Here is a 21,900-nt window from a genome sequence, read left to right as displayed (position 1 = left end):
CTTGGCCTCCCGAAGTGCTGAGATTACAAGTGTGAGCTACCATGCCCAGCCAGTCGTGTGTATATTTTACAATATGACGTATGAATGGTAAGTGTGACCTCAACTCCCAGAAAGGTAAAATAAGGGCCTCTGAAAATCTACTCCTCCATAAAAGCAACAGGAACACTGGGAAATTGTCAAAATTAACTTTTTCAGATCTCTGGAAACTAACTAAAAGCTTATAACAATCCAAGAAGTAGTTATTTAAGACAAATGGCTGAATCTCATAACAATGAGACTTGAGGTGTTTTAACTCTTCCTAATCCCTTCTCACTCTCTCTAGCTTTATAGTAGCCTTAAAAACCAACAGCTTCACAACTATGGTAGCTGTGAAACCCACCAGCCCACTGTCATTGGAGAAGTCAGAACAGGTTAAGAGGTCCTCAAAAGCCTCATCCCTAGGGTGTTTTTAGTGTTCAGCCTGTCTGGCACCTTACTGAAAAGCTCCGTTCTCAGGGCTTGTATTTATTTGACATGAATCAGAGCTCACTTTGTGCAAACAGCTCCGCCAGCAGGGAATTTGACAAAGACAATAAGCAGCAGTTGTTTAATATTGTAGCTGCCTAAGGCAGTATTGCCATTTAGGGCTTTCAAAATGCTGACCTAAACACTTAAATGGAAAAACTGAGTATATTAGTCAGGATTCTCCAGAGAAACAGAACCAATAAGATGAATGGATGGATGGAAAGATAGATAGATAGATAGATAGATAGATAGATAGATAGATAGATAGATAGATGATACATACATACACACATGTATACATACATATGTCACAGGATCCTTAGGGTGTTGCTTCACCAGCCAGAAACCTCTGTGGCTAGTGGTACCTTCTGCCTGAATATTGCTTGCACCTGCTGGACTTGTTTTGCCCACTCGGCCTGGCAAGCTGTGCTCAGCTCAGGCTACCGGCCCGGATCCCACACCTGCCAACAGCAAACCAGGTTCAGAATGGTGAGGAGTGTGTGGGCCAGTGAGCGTGGGGTCCGGCCACTGTGCACAGCCAGGCAGGCTGGCTACTGTGGCAAGGCAGGCAGCTCCAGGCGCCAGCACAGGTGCTGGCTCCGTGCGAGGCTGTGGCTGGTCCAAATGTTCTGTGTGCAGATTCTGTTGCAGACACCCACATCTGGATGAAGGGAACACAGTGGCACCCGGAAGCTTGGAGATGCCAGGAACCACACAGCCCTAAAGAGGGTGTCACAGCCCTGGCTGGGGAGTCCCTAGGTCTGGGCTTCCCGAAGGGCCACAGCTCTTCTCTCCTTCTTGTTGTCCATAACATGGCAAGCAGGGGGGCGTGTTTCATGCCTGTTTGTGTTATAGCTCTTTCAGTCCTGTCATTTGTTGGGTCTTGAGCTCTTATCCTGAATCCAGGAAGAATGAGGTAAGCAAGCAAGGTGGAGAGGGCAAGCAAGGTGGAGAGGAGCTTCATTGAGTGACAGAACAGCTCTCAGGAGACCTGAAGTGGGTAGCTCCTTTCTGCAGGTAGGTCATCCTGATGAGTGTCCAGCTCTCAGTGGAGAGGAGACCCATAGTGGGTAGCTCTTTTCTGCAGGCAGGTCATCCTGATGAGTCAAGGAGACTCGAATTGGATAGCTCCTTCCCACAGCTTGTAGTCTTGAAATCTGTGTGAGTCTGGGGTTTTTATGGGCTTCAGAAAGGAGGAAGTGTGTGCTCATTGGTCCATGGGCAGCCATGGGTGGGCCCAGGAAAAGCACCGTAAGTTCTCACTCTGGGCCACAGACTCTACCCAGAACTGGCAGCCTGGCCCCCAGGCTTCAGGCCATTCTTGGCTCGAAGGAGGGGCTTTACTGGGGACCTGCCCCTTCCCATCCAGGAACCTGTCTGCCTCCTGCCCTCATCAACATGTCATCCATGGCACCTTGGCTGTCCACACTGAGGGGTGTCTGCAGGCCCATGCCAAGCTGCCCTCAGTCACTGCCCCTCCCATCTCCCTCCCATGCTCTTTGGCGCCCAAAGTCTGGAGGGGGCTGAGGTGGCTGGGGGCTGTTGTGTCAGCACCACCCTGAGCCCATGTACAGCTGGCCAGGTTATGACAATGCCCAGGCTCAACCACAACTTTGCTCTGCCCCAGAGCAGGTGCTGGGAGCAGGGAGAGGCCACAGAGCAGGAGCAGGCACTTCCAAGCCTGCGGGAGCAGGGGAGCTTCCCAGTCCCTGAGAGCACAGGGATGCCCAGGTCTGGAGTTGTGGCTGGGTGGCTACAGCTGTGCCCCAGAGCATGGTGCTCCTAGCCTACCAACTTGGTAAGGCAAGGAGCTCCCACCTATTCCTGGCCCCTGCTAGCTCTGGGGAGTGCACAGCCCCAGCTGCACTTCCCCCACTGCAGCCTGTGTCTTCACAGTGTGGCCACTCCAGATGGTCTGCTGCTGCTATCACATATACATACATAAATGCATGCATACATACATACATAAATATACACAGATTTGTTATGGGAATTGGCTCATACAATTATGGAGGCTAAGATGTCCCAAGATGGGTTGTCTGCAAACTGCAAAACCAGGGAAGCTGTTGGTGCAATTATCTGAGTACAAAAGCCTAAGAACCAGGGGAGCAGATGGTTTAACTCTCAGTCCTAGGCTGAAGGCCTGAAAAACTGGAGGGACTGCTTATGTAAGTCTGAGTCCATTTGCCTGAGAATCTGGAGTTCATTTTTTTTTTTTTGAGACGGAGTCTCACTCTCTCGCCCAGGCTGGAGTGCAGTGGCTCGATCTTGGCTCATTGCAACGTCCACCTCCCTGGTTCAAGTGATCCTCCTGCCTCAGACTCCTGAGTAGCTGGGACTACAGGCATGTGCCGCCATGCCTAGCTAATTTTTGTATTTTTAGAAGAGACAGGGTTTCACCATGTTGGCCAGGCTCGTCTTGAACTCCTGACCTCAGGTAAGGTTCCTAAGGTCCCTCCCAAAGTGCTAAGATTATAGGCGTGAGCCACCACGCCCAGCTGAGAATCTGGAGTTCTGATGTCTGAGGGTACGAAAAGATGGCTGTTTCAGCTCAGAGAGAGCAAATTCAAACTTTTTCTGCTTCTTTGTTCTATCTGTCATCAATGGTTTGAATGACCTGCCTACATTGGTGACCGCGGGTCTTCTTTACTCAATCTACTGATTCAAATGCTTAATGTCTTCTGGAAACATCCTCACAGTATTCCTAGAAATAATGTTTTACCAGTTACTGGGTATCTTTAACCTAGTCAAATTGACACCTTAAATTAATCACCACATTAGGTAATGAGATGTCCATAGTTGGCTTTGAAAACTATGACATATATTTGGGAATCTAGAAGGCCAGGAGAAACCTGAGAAGGCCTGAAACTCTTACCTCTGGTTGACTTTTGTGGCTCTATGCAAGCAACAAGTGACAGGTAAGGCAGAATTATAAGCTGCCTGCTGGAGCATTAAAGGTGCAACCCAACACACACATAGAACCCTTTGGCAGAGTAAAAGAATTATTGTTTTAAGTGATTTTTTATATAAAAAGGATTATACACCATGACCAAGAGGGATTTATCCCAGGAATGCAAGGTTGGTTTAACATATGAAAAATCAATCAATGTAATATATATTATATTAATAGCATAAAAAACAAAAATAACATGATTATAGATGTGGAAAAGGCAGTTGAAAAAATCTGGCACCCTTTCATGACAAGAACATTCAGTAAATTATGAATAGAAGGGAACTTCCTCAACCCATTAAAGGGCATCTATGAAGAACCCACAGCTAATATCATACTTAATGTTGAAAGACTGAAAATTTTCCCTCTAATATTAGGAAGACAAAGATGTCTCATGTCTCCACTTCTATTCAACATTGTACTGTAGGTTCTAACCAGGGCAATTATGTAAGAAAAAGAATTAAAAGACATTAAGCTTGGAAAGCAGGAAGGAAAACTATCTTTATTCACAATTGACGTTAACTTATATATAAAAAATACTAAGGAACACACGCACACACATGCACACGCACACACACATACACACACACAGCATTAGAGCTAATACAAATTCAGCAATGTTTCAGGATACAAGATCAAGATACAAAAATCTGTTGTTTTTCTGTGTACTAACTTAAAAAATAATAAATATGAAAATGGAATTAAGAAAATATTCTATCATAGCATAAACAAGAATAAAATAGGAATAAATTTAACAAAGGAAGTACAAGGCTTATACACTGGAAAATATAAAACATCATAGAAAAAAATTAAAGAAGACCTAAATAAATGAAAAATATCCCATGATAATGGAGTGAAAGACTTAACGTTGTTAAAATAATAGTACTCTCCAAGTTGATCTACAGATTCAATGTAATTATTATCGAAATCCCAACTCCTATTTTTTTTTCACAGAAATCAACAAGATAATTCTAAAATTAATATGGAAACACCAAGAGGCCAGGCATGGTGGCTCCCACCTGTAATCCCAGTACTCTGGGAGGTCGAGGCTATTCGATCACTTGAGGTCAGGAGTTCGAGACCAGCCTGCCAACATGGTGAAACACCATCTCTACTAAAAATACAAAAATTAGCCAGGAGTGGTGGCATGCATCTGTAGTTCCAGCTACTGGGGAGGCTGAGGCAGGAGAATCACTTGAACCTGGGAGGCGGAGGTTGCAGTGAGCTGAGATTACACCACTGCACTCCAGCCTGGGTGATAGAGCAAAACTCAGTCTAAAAGAAATGCCAGGAACTCAGAATAGTCAAAACATTTTGAAAGAAAAAGGCAAAGTTGAAAAATTTTAAACTTCCATATTTTAAAACTTACTACAAAGTTAATATGTAGTACTAACATAAGAATGCAAGTATAGATCAACGGAATAGAATTGAAAGGCCAGAAATAAATTCTTGTAGTTATGGTAAATTGATTTTCAAGAAGAGTGTCAAGACCATTTAATGAGAGAAGGAATATTTTATTTTTCAACAAATTATGTTAATATAACTGGATAGCCACATGCAAAAGAATGAATTGAGATCCCTATCTCACATCATATACAAAAATTAAATGGGAACTAAATATAAGAGGAAAAACTGTAAAACTCTTAGAAGAAAACATATGCTTAAATCTTTGTGACTTTGGTTTGGGCAGTGGCTTCCTAGGCACCAAAAGCACAAGCAACAAAAGAAAAAAATAGATAATTTGGACTTCATAAAAATGAAAATCTTTTGTTCTTCAAAGGATACCATCAAGAAAGTGAAAAGTCAGCCCATGGAATCACAGGAAATATTTGAAGATCATATATTGGAAAAGGAACTTGTGTCCAGAATATGAAAAAACACCAATAACCCAATTTAAAAATGGGTAAAGGATCTTAACAGACATTTCTCCCCAGAAGACAGACAAATGGCCAATAAGCACATGAAAGATGCTCAGTTCCGTTAGTCATCTGAGACTAAATAAAAAAATAAATCAGAACTACAAGATACCACTTCACACCCACTAGGGTGACTGTAATTTTAAAAATGTATAATAACAAGTGTTGGCAGGATGTGGAGAATTTGGAATGCCCATACATTACTCATGGGATTGTAAAATGATGCAGCCACTTTGGAAAACAGTTCAGCAGTTCCTCAAAATGTTGTTTTTTTTTTAAAAAGGAATTATTATATGACCCAGGAATTCCACACCTAGATATATATACAAGGCAATTGAAAATATGTCCACACAAAAATGTGGGCACAGACGTTTGTAACACTGTTACTCATAATAGCCAGAAAGTGAAAACAACTCAAATGTTTATCAATTAATGACTGGATAAACAAAATGTGGTATATTCCATATAATGGTAATGTTCCATAACATGGAACATTAGTCATTACTGAATCATAAAAAGAAATTAGATTCTGATACATGTATAATGTGAATGAACTTTTAAAACATTATGCTAAGTCTAAGAAGTCAGACACAAAAGACCACAACTTACGTGTTTCATTCACATGAAATCCCCAGAATAAACAAATCCAAAGAGATGGAAAGTAGAATATTGTTTGCCAGGGATTGGGGGTGGTAAGGAGGCAATGAGAATTTGCTACTTATACGTATGCTTTTTTTTTTTTGGAGTGATAAAAACGTTCTGGAATTAGATGGTGGTGATAAATGCACAACTTTGTGAGTATACTAAAAACCACTGAATTGTATATTGTAAAGGGGTAAACTTTATGGTATGCAAATTATATTTACTATAGCTGTTTTTATTTATTTTTTTGAGATGAGATCTCACTGTCACCCAAGCTGGAGTGCAGTAATGTGATCTCAGCTCACTGCAAACTTCGCCTCCTAGGCTCAATTGATCCTCCTGCCTTAGCCTCTAAGTAGCTGGGATTACAGGTGTGTGCCACCACGCCCAGCTAATTTTTGTATTTTTTGTAGATACGGAGTTTTGTAATGTTGCCCAAGCTGGTCTCAAACTCCTAAGTTCAAGTGATCCACCCGCCTTGGCCTCCCAAAGTGCTGGGATTATAGGCATGAGTCACTGTGCCTGGCATATTTTTAAAAATTATAAATGCAACTTTTTCTTCATTTTTGAGGGGAAATGCATGAAATAGAATTTATCAGAATTACTATGTTTTTATAACAGTACTACCAACAGTGAGTTTGTCTATGTTTGAAGTTTCATATTTTATACATCCTGGCATATTGGACCACATCTTGACAATATAATGCATCATGTCCTGATAAAGTCTTGCGATCCCAGAAGCACATGTGATTGAGAATGAATTAGTATCTAGGATATAAAAAAATGCTTACAAGTCCATAAGAAAAACATCTTTAAAAAAGGACAAAATAAATAATTAGAAAATGTACTCAAAAGGAAATTGGAATGACCAATAAACATATAAAAATGTGTTCAACATCACTAGTAACCTAAGAAGTGCATGTTAAATCCAAAATGAGATAGGCTGAGTTGGGCAGATCACTTGAGGTCTGGAGTTCGAGACCAGCCCGGTCAACATGGTAAAACTCTGTCTCTACGAGAAATACAAAAAAAATTTAGCTGAGTGTGGTGGTGGTTGACTGTAATTCCAGCTACTCGGGAGGCTGAGGCACAAGAATCACTTGAACCTGGGAGCAGAGGTTGCAGTGAGCCAAGATTGCACCACTGCACTCCAGCCTGGGCAACGGAGCGAGACCTCAACTCAAAATAAATATAAAAAAACAAAATGAGATAGGTTTTGGCATCCATCCATCCATCTGATTGACCAAAATTCTACAGGGATACAATACCAAATATTACTAAGGATATTTAGCATTTATCCATTGCTGGCAATATTATAATTTGGCACAGTCACTTTGGACAACAATTTGACGAAATCTAGTAAAGCTGACAATGCATACTCCCTAAGCAACTTCACACCTAGACTGGGCATATCTACAAGGAGAGATATATGGGAATAGCACATTCATGGCAGTATTTTTTGGTTGTAAACAATCTAAATGTCCACTTATAGGAAAATAATAAAGAAGGCACACTGTACCATAATTATATTGCAGTAAAAAATGAGTTAGAGCCATAGGAATAAACATAGATTCAGTAACATAATATAGAGGAAAGAAAGTAAGATGCATAAAGATGCACCATTATGAAGCCATTAAAATGGTGTTGAAGTGTAAGAAATAGTAAACCAATGTATTGTTTAGAAATTGACACATCGGTAGTAAAAGTATTATTTTTTAAAAAGTATGTGAATGATAAACACCAAATTAGTATAATGGTTAGCTACGTGAGGAAGGGAGATGGGTGAATTTTAGGTTGAGTTCACTTGAAGCTTCGACACTTTGGGTAATGTGTGTTTTATTTTTGTTTTGTTTTTCTTAAGCAAGATGCTAGGTACATGGTTATTATGCATTTTGCATATCTAATCATCTAATTATATAATATTAAGTTTATCTATATTAAATTTAATTTATATACAAAAACCAAAACAAATGAATGATTAGCAAAAAAAAAAGGGCAATAAACATGGAAACTAGGAATATTCAAAGTGTTACCACTCTAAAAACGAACATCACCATCCTTATGTCACTTTAAGCTTATGATTCTGACATTGTTTATAGTCCAGAATCTAAATTATTTCCCAGTTATTTCCTTTTTAAAAATTTGTACTTGGGAATATCCCAGTTTTATCAGTCTCAAACTGCATGGTCCAGTAGTTGCTTATTTCTTGTCTCTTCTTTTTTCTCAGATCAGAAATTAACATTTTCTCCTACGTATTATATATCTGCTCCATCAGAAACAATCTTCCTTATATTTTATATTATTTTATTTTTCATAGGATATTTGCATATTTATTATTTCTTATGATATTTTACATGTGTTTCTCTTTTAAGGATGGGAATATAATCATAGAAAGGCTAAGCCATTTTTCCAAAGTCACTTTGCATGTGGTTGAAGCATGATTAAATTTCAGGTTCTAATTTTTAGTCCACTGGGACACTAACTACTCTTTTCTCCACCAAGTGTCACAGCTTCAATATTTCTGCTCATGTCAAAAGGTGCTCCTTATGGGGGAGGGGATGGGGAACGTGGATGGGGGGAAAGAGGAGCATGTCTGCCTACTCTCACTTAACCAGCCAAAACATTTTGCTTCTTTCCCAGACATCCACTCCTTTTACCTCTCGAAATAGCTCTGCCCCAAGGAAGGAGTAGCTGCTAATCTAATTGGTCAGAGCCTAATAGTCATTGGGTACCATTTTACTAGTGGGTAGAGTCACTATGCATTTAAAGAACGGCACCCACACTCATCACTCATTATCTAATTCTATGAAGTTGAAAAATGCCCAGGCAGGGCTTGTATCTGTTGGGCAGGTCTATTTATTTGAGCTTCTTCCAGCCTGCAATTTGATGTGTAAGTCAGGCTGAGCTCTGCCCCTCTGACACGGCCATTTCTGATTTAGGGGGTGCTGGCCAGGGTGGGAGGCTGTCTGCCGAGTTGCATTCTCCACTCTGGCTCTGCCAGAGTTCTGCCTTGAGGGGCTGTGAGTGCTTCTCTAGCTGTTCATAAAATGGTATTTTCTCCCTTCTGACTCTTGCTTCTCACGTCTACGGGTGGCTTTTATACTTGGGTACCCTGCCTGGTAGGGCAGTGGGTTAGTAGTAGGATTCTCAAAACTCAACTCTAAACTATTAATACCGTTTAGCACCCAAATTGGCACATATTGTTCAGCAATGCCTCCCTTCTCAGTGAAAACAAATTGTCATTACTCTTTTTTGCCCTGGCATGACTGGGGAATAAACATTCTCTTTATTCTTCAGGACTCAAGGGTAATATATAATGCTTCCTACTCTGTCCATTTTACTATTTTTTTTTTTTTTTTTTTTTTGAGACGGAGTCTTGCTCTGTCGCCCAGGCTGGAGTGCAGTGGCATGATCTCGACTCACTGCAAGCTCCGCCTCCCGGGTTCATGCCATTCTCCTGCCTCAGCCTCCCGAGTAGCTGAGACTATAGGCGCCCGCCACCACACCCAGCTAATTCTTTTGTATTTTTAGTAGAGATGGGGTTTCACCGTGTTAGCCAGGATGGTCTCGATCTCCTGACCTCGTGATCCGCCCACCTCAGCCTCCCAAAGTGCTGGGATTACAGGCGTGAGCCACCATGCCCGGCCCATTTTACTACCTTTTTGTTTTGTTTTATCTATTTCACCAGCTACCATAGCTTTATCACATATAACTGTCAGAAAATGACTGTGATAAAAGATAATAGGAGTTTGATGTGACATAAAAGAATAACTTGAATAGGAGTGAATGTTTCTTGATAAATACAATTGACACTGAGTGATTTCCCTCCTAGAAATAATTCATTTACATTCATCATAACAACCAATAACGGAAAACACAAGTTTGGTCTGCTTTTTTATTTCAATTTTATTTAGATTAATGTTAAATGGTTGTCACTATTTCTGTTAGATTATATCTCTTAAAATAAAATGCTTTGAAATTATTTAGTATATGCTTTTGTCTAGCAAATAGAATTTTATCATTGCCAACAAAAGAGAATTACCCATGGCTGTGAATGTTCACATATGGAAAGAGCCCCAGAAAATTGCCTTGATCCCCAATTCCTGCCCGCAAGGCTCACAATCATATAAAGTAAGAAAATGAGGGATTTAAGCTGATAATTAGTTTTAAGTATTTAAGCCATGTTTTCCTTCAGTAAAATAGACAAAAACTACCATTTAGTGAGCACTTACTGTGCGCCAATCACTGTGTTACGTATTTTCTCTATATAGTCTCCCTTTACCTTCACATGCCCCTCTGAGCTTGGTGCTGATAATTTGGGATTTGTGAAAATTAAGAACATCTGCTCTTCAAAAGGCACTGTTAAGAGGACGAAAGGACGAACTACAGTGTGGGAGAAAATATTTCCAAATCACATACTGATAAAAGTCTTGTATCCAGAACATATAATGAACTCTCAACTCAGTAAGAAAAAAAAAACCATTTGGGGAAAATATGGGCCAAAGATTTGAGGAGATAATTCTCCAAAGAATATACATAGGTAGGAAAAAATCACATGAAAAGATGCTCAACATTTTTATTTATCAGGGGAATACAAATTAAAACCACAGTAAGATGCCACTTTACACCTGAAAGAATATCTAAACTTAAAACAGTTGACCATATCAAGTGGTGGTGAAAATATGGAAGCACTGGAGCTCTCATACACTGCCAAGTGGGAATGCAAAATGTACAACTACTTTGGAAAGCAGTTTGGCAGTTTCCTAACAATATGCCTCCGATATGAATTAGCTACTCCACTCCTAGGTATTGACCCAAAAGAAATGAAAGCATACGTCTTTACAAAGACCTGTATGTAAATGTTCAAACAGATTTATTTATAATACCCAAAAACTGAAAACAACCCACTATCCATTAGTAGGCAAAGGGATTTAAAAAAGGACTGTATCCATATAATGGAATATTCTGCAGCAATAAGAAGGAATGAACATACAACAAATGCATAAATATCAAGATAATTATGCTGAGTAGAATAATATAGACAAAAAGTACACATTGTATCATTCTATAAATGTACACATTTATAGAAAGTTCTAGAAGATGCAAACTAATATTTAGTGACAGAAAGCAATCAGTGGTTGCCTGGGACATGGGTTTAAGAAAAGGAGGAATAAGAAGATAGGATTAAAAAGATGTATGAAGCCAGGTGCAGTGGCTCACACCTGTAATCCCAGCACTTTAGGAGGCCGAGGCAGGTGGATCACTTGAGGCCAGGAGTTAGAGACCAGCCTAGCCAACATGGTGAAAACCCATTTCTACTAAATGTACAAAAATTAGCCAGGCGTGGTGGTGCTTGCCTGTAATCCTAGCTACTTGGGAGTCTGAAGCATGAGAATTACCTGGACTCGGGAGGCAGAGGTTGCAGTGAGCCGAGATTGTGCCACTGCACTTCAGCCTAGGCAATAGAGTGAGACTTTCTCTCTCAAAAACAAAAAAGGATAGAGAAAGCATTTTGGGATACGGATATGTTCATGATCTTGATTGTGGTGATGATTTAACGGGCGCAAAAATTATCTAATTGTACATTTTAAATATATGCAGTTTATTTTATGTCCATTATACCTCAATAAAATTGTTTTTTAAAAAACAACTATGAGGCCATGGAGGCTTTTGTACATTTGAGCAATAAATGTTATTTGAACTGCCTTAGTACTTTTAAAAGCACCTAAAGATTTAACAGATTTAAGCTGGTAACAAGCTTGGAGATATTGGGATCACTTTTTGTTTGTTTGTTTGTTTGTTTGAGACAGAGTCTTACTCTGTTGCCAGGCTGGAGTGCAGTGGCACAACATCGGCTCACTGCAACTTCCGCCTCCTGAGTTTAAACAATTCTCCTGCCTCAGCCTCCCGAGTAGCTGGGACTACAGATGGTGTGCCACCACGCCCAGCTAATTTTTGTATTTTTAGTAGAGACGGGGTTTCACCATGTTGGCCAGGCTGGTCTCGAACTCCCAACCTTGTGATTCACCTGCCTTGGGCTCCCAAAGTGCTGGGATTACAGGCTTGAGCACTGCGCTCGGCTGGGATCACTTTTTAAAAGGAGCTTTATATATATATATAAAATGACAATGGAATCCTAGGTTTTGGAAATCTTTATCAATATGACATACAAAAAAAAAAGACTTTTCAGTGTTATTATTTTTGAGACAGTGTCTCACTATGTCACCAGGAGTACAGTGCCACAATTATAGCTAACTATCTTCTGGGCTCGAGCAATCCTCCTGCCTCAGCCTCCTGAGTAGCTAGGACTAGAGGTGTGCACTGCCATGCCCAGCTAATTTTTCTTTTTTTGTTGTTTTTGTAGAGACAGGGTCTCACTATATTGCCCAGGCTGGTCTCGAACTCCTGGTCTCAAGCAATCCTCCCACCTCCTTGTTATTTTTAAAATTCTTAATGAGATTAGGCATGTTTTCATACATTTATTGACTATTTGTATTTTTTCTTCTGTGAATTGCCTGTTTATATTTTTGTTCATTTTTCTTTTGGATTTTTTTTTCTTATTGACTTGTAAGGATTTTTGGTTGAGGTAGATTTCAGACAAACTGAGTTGGAGATAATGTACATATAAAAATGTCCAGTAAGTCATTGAAGATGCAGGATGAGGTCTCCAAGGAAAATAAAACAAATGAGCAAAAGCAGATTATGAAATCAGAGCCCAAGGAAGAAACAGATCCAGTGGAGGCAAAGAAGTATTCAGAGTGACCTGGAAAAAACATGTCCTTATATGACCCTTACCAGTCACAGGTCCTTTTACTATCCAATTTAGCGTGCATGCTTGACTGCAGGAAGTCCGTCTTTTTTTTTTTTTTTTTTTTTTTTTTTTTTTTTTTTTTTTTTTTTTTTTCTGAGTTTTCCTTCCCAAGTATTTCCAAAAAGCCCCAGGGGTGCTGAAACATGTCCAGGTGTCTGTTCTTCTAGCTATTATTTTCCTCTTGGCAAACACCAAACTCAGTGCGCCCCCTTGGGGCTAAAGGGTTCCACAGAGCTACTCCCATGCTGTAACTCCAGAACCTGCTGCTCATGCACTGTTGAGTAAGACACCCAGTGACCTTCTGAAGCCCTGGTGTCAGAGGCATTTGAACCAGAGCACTGTGAGAGTATGTTTCCTTTTCTATGTCTGATTTGGCTCTATGTAAAGATAAGTTTGGTCATTTCTCTGAAGATCCAGGAAAATTCATAGATGAGTTTGAGAAATTAACTCTCACCTGTAGTTTAACTTGGCAGAATCAGCATGTTTTGTTGTTTCTGTGTTGTACAGTGGAAGAAAAACAACACCTTTTTTTTTTTTGAGGCAGAGTCTTGCTCTGTCATCAGTCTGGAGTGCAGTGGCACGATCTTGGCTCACCGCAACCTCTGCCTCCTGGATTCAAGCGATTCTCCTGCCTCAGCCTCCCGAGTAGCTGGGACTACAGGTGCGCACCACCATGCCCAGCTAATTTTTATATTTTTAGTAGAGACAAGGTTTCACCATGTTGGCCACGATGGTCTCGGTCTGTTGACCTGGTGATCTGCCTGCCTTGGCCTCCCAAAGTGCTGGGATTACAAATGTGAGCCGCCGTGCTCAGCCAAAACAACACATTTTGGGGACAGCTAGGACCCATGCAGATGAGGTATTGGCTCGTAACCCTAACCATAATATATATCAGGCAGGAGGTATAGCAGTTCCAGATCAAGATCCAGGGTGGAACTATCAAAGGTGCAGTGACGACTTGGGGAGTAGAGATAATATGGTCTCTTGTTTGTTGGAAGGGATAAAGAAATGTATGAAAAAGCCTGTTAACTATGAAAAGGTTAAGGAAGTTTCACAGGGCAAAGACGAGAATCTAGCTTTGTTTCAAGGGGGTTTAGTTGAGGCAATCAGGAAATATACTAACACTGATCCTGCCTCAAGGGAAGGACAAACCCTTTGGGAGTACACTTTATATTCCAGTTTGCCCCTGATATCCACAGGAAACTGCAAAAAGCAGCTATGGGTCCCCAAACTCCTATTGAACAGGTTTTGTGTTGTTTTTTTTTAAGACGGATTTTCACTCTTGTTGCCCAGGCTGGAGTGCAATGGCATGAGCTCGGCTCACTGAAACCTCTGCATGCTGGGTTCAAGTGATTCTCCTGCCTCAGCCTCCCAAGTAGCTGGAATTACAGGTATGCGCCACCATGCCCAGCTAATTTTTTTGTATTTGTAGTAGAGATGGGGTTTCACCATGTTGCAGGCTGGTCTCGAACTCCTGACCTCAGGTGATCCACCCACCTTGGCCTCCCAAAGTGCTGGGATTACAGGCATGAGCCACTGTGCCTAACCTAGAACAGCTTTTGGATATGGCATTTTAAATTTCTAATAACAAGGACAAAGTAGAGGAAGCAGAAAGAGCAAGAAGGACCTCCCACAAGGTGCAGCTCTTGGTTGCAGCCTTAAGCTCACCTCCCACATGGAGTTGCCCTCCTGGCTCTTGGACTGAACAAGGGAAGCTGAAAGGTAGGAAACCCAAAGCTGGATGTCCAAGTCACTGTGCCTTAGGCATGAATCAGTGTGCACACTGTAAGAAAACTGGCCACTGGAAGAAGGATTGCCCAGTGTTCTGAAGGGAGCCATCAGCACCTGAACCAATGATGGCAGAAATAGCCAGGCAAGCCCAAGAGTGATGGGGCCTCAGACCTTCTGCCACAGCTTCTGTTGGACAGCTAGCCATATCTCTGGAGGAGCCTCGGTAACTCTTGATGTGGCAGGTAAGAATATTAACTTCCTTCTAGAATGCGTACTCTGTTTTGACCCATTATAATGGGACTCTGTCACCCCAAAACTGTATAGTCATGGGGATAGATGGACAAGCTCATAGATGACATTTACCTATCCTGTAAGCTCCTCTTCAGGGACTGTGGTTTTCTCCTGAATGCCGCACCCCTTGTTGGGAAGGGGTTTGTTAACTCAGCTGAAAATACTAGTATCTTTTGGAAATCATAAAGCAGACAAGAAATTGCTCCTTCTCCTTTCCTTTGAATAAATATCAGGCTTTGTTGCTAAACATCCTGATATAATTCTTTAAGTAAGCCAAACTTTGAATCAAGCTACCTATTTGCCTGAACCCAAAGGTACCCTAGATCATTCTTGCATACAAGTTATGGAGAAAGTTTACTCCAGCTGTCCGGATTTAAAAGATGATACTCTAGATAATCCTGAGTTAGAATGGTTTACAGATGGAAGTAGCTTTGTGCACCAGGGAAACAGAATAAAAAACTGCTAATACCAGGTGCTAATCAGTGGAAACTAGTTAAACATTTGCATGACTCTACTCATTTGGGAAGAAATTCCCTGTTTCAATTAATGTCTTGGTATTTAATAGGAAAGGCTTACTTAAAAGTGTAAAGCAGGTAACTAACTCAGGCCTGTGAACTGTGTGCCCAGAATAACCCAAAAAACCAGTCTTTACCTCCTCCTCTAGTAAGGCCTGTTCAGCATAGGGGAACGTACCCTGGTGAAGATTGGCAAATAGACTATACTCACATGTCCCCATGTAAAGTGTTTATTTATTAGTATTTGTTGACACCTTTACTGGTTGGATCGAGGCTTTTCCTACCTGGTCTGAAAAGGCAATTGAGGTTTCTAAACTCCTACTAAAGGAAATAATTTCTAGATTTTGGCTGCCTAAGAGCTTACAGAGCAATAATGGCCCATATTTCACAGTGACAATTACCCCAAACACATCTTCAGCCCTAGGAATTCAGTACCGCCCTCATTCGCATGGAGGCCACAGTCTTCCGGGAAAGTAGAAAGAACTAATCAAACTCTAAAAAGGACTCTTGCTAAACTACGACGTCAGAAACCTGGCTGTCTTTATTACCTGTAGCCTTATTATGGGTTCAAGTGGCCCCTAAGGGAAGTCTGCAGCTCAGTCCTTTTGAAATAATGTATGGAAGGCCTTTCTTAACTACACACCTCCTAATAGACGTAGATACTTTCAAGCTACAGAATTATGTGATCGACTTAGGACAAGTGCAAAGCACACTCCTTGATTATGGAAACCGAAGACTCCCTTCCCCCACTAAGGAAGAGAATCTTGTTACAACCCAGCCGGGAGACTGGGTCCTATTAAGAACTTGGAAGGAAGGATCCCTAGCAGATTAACTTTCCCCAAAATGGAAGGGACCCTCTTAAGTTCTCCTTAGTACCCCAACTGCAGTTAAACTGCTGAGAAAAAACAGCTGGGTCCACTTATCTTGAATTAAACCTGTCTCTTAGGAAGTCCCACAGGCCTAGGGAACCCAAGTGATCTCGTTTATTCCTGTGAGACAATCGGTGACCTCTGACTCCTGTTCAGAAGAAATGAAAGGGATGGATAACATAAAGATATAGATGGGCATTCTACTTTTGGGTATAGGTTGGAATCATGCAGAGAGTAACTTATTTACCGAGTGGGCATAGACTTTAGCCTCTCTACCTAATCAGACAAACCGTTGGGTATGTGGAGATTTTAACAGCGGCCCAAGGGGGAACTTGTGCTCTGATCAAAACCAAATGAGTGTATGTTTCAGACTATTCACATAATATTATCTGGGATATGAAAGCTTTAGACACTCATATCTCTGCCATTGATGCACTGTCAGTCGACCCTATATCGGCTTGGTTCCAACAACTGCCCGGCTCTTGGAGAGCCTTCCTGTTTAGTTTACTTGGAATGATTTTACTTATTTTACTTTGCTGTTGTGGAATATATTGTGGTTGTACTCTTTGTGTAGGAATGCAAGACAAGTTTACTCAATGCTTTCTTAAATTGGACACTTATGAATCTTCCAGATATCACCTTTTGTCAGAACTTGGAGTTATGAATGACCTTCACCATACCAATGCTCTCTGACTGAGCTTCTCTCTACCCCGAATGCAAGAGACCCTAATAGTTAGGCAGGAATATAATCACCCCTATTCAGCCTGAAGAAGTTGCAGAAGACGGATCTTCATCCTTCTGCAACCCTTAGGATTAAGGGTCCTCTTGTAAAGGGTGGGGGGAGATATGTCAGAGGAAGTCAGAGTTTGAACCAGAGCAACTCCATCTTGAGTGAGGGCTGGGAAAATAAGGCTGGGACTTGCTGGGCTGCATTCTCAGAAAGTTAGGCATTCCTAGCCCCTAGATATTTATGGTTAAGGGAACAGATTAATATTGTTTACAAAACAGACCCAGACTTGGGACTGTCCAGTATCCTGATATCTGGAGAACAAAGGCATTCCTAATTTTGATTTAAATAGTATCGGCCGGCACTTTGGGAGGCCGAGGCAGGCAGATCACGAGGTCAGGAGTTCGAGACCAGCCTGACCAACATGGTGAAACCTTGTCTCTACTAAAAATACAAAAATTAGCTGGGCATGTTGGCGCGTGCCTGTAATCCCAGCTACTCAGGAGGCTGAGGCAGGAGAATCACTTGAACCCAGGAGGCAGAGGTTGCAGTGAGCTGAGATCACGCCACTGCACTCCAGCCTGGGCAACAGAGTGTGACTCCGTCTCAAATAATAATAATAATAATGTCAATCCTTGCAAAATATAGTAATTAAGAAAATCAATCCTTTATCACAAACCCTTGTAGCAGAACACATCTCCCCACATATACAAGCATTGTGCCTAGGGTGGATGCGTTCCTTCTTTTACTTTCAGGAACGTCCTACTCTATGTATGGAATAGCTGTGCTTTCACCACTTTACTTTCTTAATAAACTTGCTTTTTTGCACTGCAGACTCACCCTGAATCCTTTCTTGCTGAGATCGAAGAACCAACCCTCTCTTGGGATCTGGATCAGGACCCCTTTCCTATAATACTGGCAGTCTGGAGATGTGTGCCCTAACCAGGCCATACTCCCGTTGCCCCATGACCATCCATGCTGTGGCTACTGTTGCTGAAGCTGAACCTCAAGGTTACTGTTAAATAGGGTAAGCCAAATAACTGTGGCTCAAGCTGGGCCACCTGCTCTAATTATTACCACCAGGGTTATTGCAGATCCCAGCACAGGCTATGGTCATTCCTTATGATGTACTCTTTGGAGAGACGTACAATTTGTTGGCTAATGGGTCAACACAAAAAATGGCCCAGCCTTACCACCTTCAAACTCTTATGGTTCATGTAGGTGTTTCCTTGGGCCCCAAACCTGCCTTCAGGATGGCTGGGTTGAGAGCAGATTGACTGATGCAAGGTTCACTTTTCCCAGCTGACCTCCTAGCCTGCCTTTTTCCTGTTTTCATGGTAAAGATTTCCCAGGATCTTGCTGCTCTTCCCTGTTGCCTAATTTGGGTTAGGCCACCAAAGTCCATCAAACAAATTTGACTCAATTGGACTTGGGATGCAAAAAGACAAGTTCTCACTTCCATTCCCCTCAAGAGTACCCTCATGTGTTGAAGGCACTGATCGACACACATCCTAATTCCCAGCAGCATGTAAGTTTCCTCAGCAATGGATACGTTTGGGGGTGGCAGGAGATGTCTAAAGCTATCAAAATGTCCTGTTGCATCACAAAAGCTCCTTCTCTCACTCTCTCAGCCAGCAAAGGTAACTTGAAGGGTTGAGTCCCCAGCAGAGGCGGATTTTCTATGATGTTAATGAAGCTTAGGTGTCACTTGCCCTGGCTCCTTCCAAGTGACAGGGGAAGGTTCTTACAATGTATTCACAAGCTTATATATTTTTGTAAAATTTGTGAAAGTAAGATATCTTGTGGCTAGGCGCTGTGGCTCACGCCTGTAATCCCAGCACTTTGGGAAACCAAGGCGGGTGGATCACGAGGTCAGGAGATTGAGACCATCCTGGCTAACACGGTGAAACTCCATCTCTACTAAAAATACAAAAAATTAGCCGGGCGTGGTGGCGGGTGCCTGTAGTCCCAGCTACTCGGGAGGCTGAGGCAGGAGAATGGCTTGAACCCGGGAGGCGGAGCTTGCAGTGAGCCAAGATTGCGCCCCTGCACTCCAGCCTGGGTGACGGAATGAGACTCCGTCTCAAAATAAATAAATAAATAAATAAATAAAAAGATATCTTGTATTCTTTTTCTTAAAGAAGTTCTCTTCCCGCAATCATATAAACTTTATGCTCCTCAAAATCTGGATCCATCCCTGATTTCTGGCAAAACTTTGTGAAAAGTTGTTTGTTTTTTTAACTAAGAGGAAAAATGGCATAAAGAATCCAGCTGACCTAATAACATTTCTCCTTCTACTTCTTACTAGCTGTTATGATGCATGCAAGGAGTGTTACTTAACCTCTCTGAACCTGAGGTTCCCAGCTAGAAAATTGAGATAATAATGTATGTCATGGAGTATTACTGTAGGAATCTATTATTACCACCAGGGATATTGCAGATGGGATCATATAGTACCTAACATGGTGTTTGTCACATAATAGATAATCAAAAGTATTGTGTGTTATTGTGGTAATTATTACTTTGTTAACTGTATAAACATCTACCTTGGAGGGCTGGAAACTTATTTCGCATGTTTCCCACATTCCTGTTTATTCTCGTGTTGTACCTAGACCTGATTAAACAAAGCCTTGAACATGAAGGAAGAAGCCAGAAGAACTGGGCTCAGCCTTGAACTCTTAACTGAGTAATTAAATTGCCAAGCACTATTATCTCCTTGCTGATCTCAAATTTGAGGTGTTCTGGGTAATTACATTGCCTTGCCTTTATATATATCTATACACATATATGTACATATATATGTGTATATATATATATACAGATCTATATATAGATATATGTGTATATATATACACACATATATGTACATATATGTGTATATCTATACACATATATGTACATATATGTGTATAGATATAGATATATATATGTATGAAATCTCTAGATAGATAGATTTTTTTTCAGACATTGTCTTGCTCTGTCACCCGGGATGAAGTACAGTGGTGTGACCACAGCTTACTGCAGCCTTGACCTCCTAGGCTCAAGGGGTCCCCCAACCTCAGCCTCCTCAGTAGCTGGGACTACAGGCATGTGCCACCACACCTGGCTAATTTTTTGTGTTTTTTTGTAGATATGGGGTTTTGCAGGGTGATCTCAAACTCCTGGGCTCAAATGATCCACCCGCCTTGGCCTTTCAACTTGCTGGGATTACAGGTGTGAGTCACCCTGCCCAGCCCAGTATTATATTTTTAAAAATTCATATATAGGCAAGAAGTCTAGAAAATGTCCTTCATAACCATGCACTTTTGGGCTAAACCTTAAAGGGAAAATCTGACACTGAAAGTATAATATAAGGGTCAACATTCTTTCAAAGGTGATTGTAAAATGGCAAGTTGGTGGTCTTCAGCTTGTGTCGATATGTCAATTCAAATGCTGGTGCCCAGAAACGGAGCAGTTCTTTTTTTTTTTTCCAATTAAAGTGCCAAACATTTTAAGTCATCCAACTTCATCCAATTCTTAAGTTGAAAAAAAAAAAGTATTATTTAGTCATATCCTCAATTTAAAAGATGTAAATTATATATTAATACATAGATGCGCTAATGAAAAAGGCTCAGGAATGAAAGGCAATACTGTATCTCAAGGACCCTCAAGGAATTATTTAGGTTGATACATTTCTTATAATTACTTAGTTGGCTGTTTGCCTGTGGGTCATACACTAATTCACTGTAACCACAGCTTGTAATTGAAATGCTGTTTTAGTTAAAGAAGATAACATGACTGTGAATCCTTCTATGAAAGGATTTCAGTCCAAGGCATTTAATTCTGCTTCAGATTTGCTAGATGAATGTAAGTGTTGAATCTCCTGAGTACTTAAAATAGGTGCAGAGTATCTCACAGCCATCTTGATTCAAGTATATAAATATTTATGCAAAGCCCTAAGCTAGGCTGGGTGCTGTAATTGATTGCAAATGGAAACTTTTCTCATTATGTAAATTAGCAAACTATTTGCTTCCTTCTATTAGCTTTGCTGTTTGAAGTCATTTTCTAGTAATTTATTTAATAAAAAGAATTAGTGTCTATTGCCATAAACTACCTAACACAGTAGACACATAAATGCTGATTATATCAAATCGTTACGTGCTAAAGGGAATTTTGGATATAAAAGATATGGTCTCTGTCCCTAAGTACTTTCCAAAGTTGATGCTTAAATCCCAGTTGAGTGAACTGGACAGTGATGGTCCCCAGAATGGTGTAGCACCTAAGGCAGACTAAAAGTTGTGGCCAGAGTGATGATACAGGTGCCAGATATTCAGTTTGCACTATGTGCTAGACACTGCACTAAACAATCCACATTCATTATTTCATTCAATGGAAACAAAAAAATATGCTATAGAGAATACTACCACCCCTGTTTTACAGATGAGGAAACTGAGGCTTCAAGAGATTCAGCAATCTGCCTTAGGACACAGAGGTAGAAAGTGGCAGGCAGTCTGACTCTGGAAGCCCACACTGTTTCCTATTATACTAACCCTGAATAGAGAGGTAAGTATTTCTCCAAAAGTATCAGGCACCCATCCACTGAGTGGACCTGGGTCCCTTGGGGTAATTGGACCTTATATGACTCCCCTGTGCTGTGGCTCCTCTGGTCCCCTGTTGCAGCCATTCCTGCCTGCCTGCCCTCCCAGCACTGACTTGGCTCCATAGTTGTGACTTCCTCTCTCGCCTAACCCTGGGTGACAAGTCAGGACCCCAGCTTAGCTCTCAGCTCTTGCCTACTTGGTTGCTCTCCTTGCCTGCCTAAGCCAATGCTTTATAAATCACTCAGTCTCAGGTATTTTTTTTTATATAACAATGCAAGAATGGCCTGATACACCTCTGTAACAACTTCTGCCGTCCTATGCCCTGGGATCTTCAGGAACAGACAGTGAGGCTCCTTTCTGCCAG

General features: G+C 41.1%; 1 long non-coding RNA gene across 1 annotated transcript; it reads left to right on the top strand.

Annotated features, from left to right (window-relative positions):
- The first annotated feature begins 48 nt into the window (after positions 1-48).
- LOC105375186 (uncharacterized) lies at positions 49-21,542 on the top strand. Its single transcript, XR_927096.2, has 3 exons — positions 49-87; positions 17,791-17,983; positions 21,376-21,542. It is a non-coding gene; the product is annotated as an uncharacterized LOC105375186 (long non-coding RNA).
- Positions 21,543-21,900: the final 358 nt, after the last annotated feature.

This window comes from Homo sapiens, chromosome 7 (genome assembly GCF_000001405.40).
Source record: "Homo sapiens chromosome 7, GRCh38.p14 Primary Assembly".
NCBI classification, from domain to species: Eukaryota; Metazoa; Chordata; class Mammalia; order Primates; family Hominidae; genus Homo; species Homo sapiens.
Note: the sequence above shows the minus strand (reverse complement) of the source record. Positions and strands in the feature narration are given on the sequence as shown.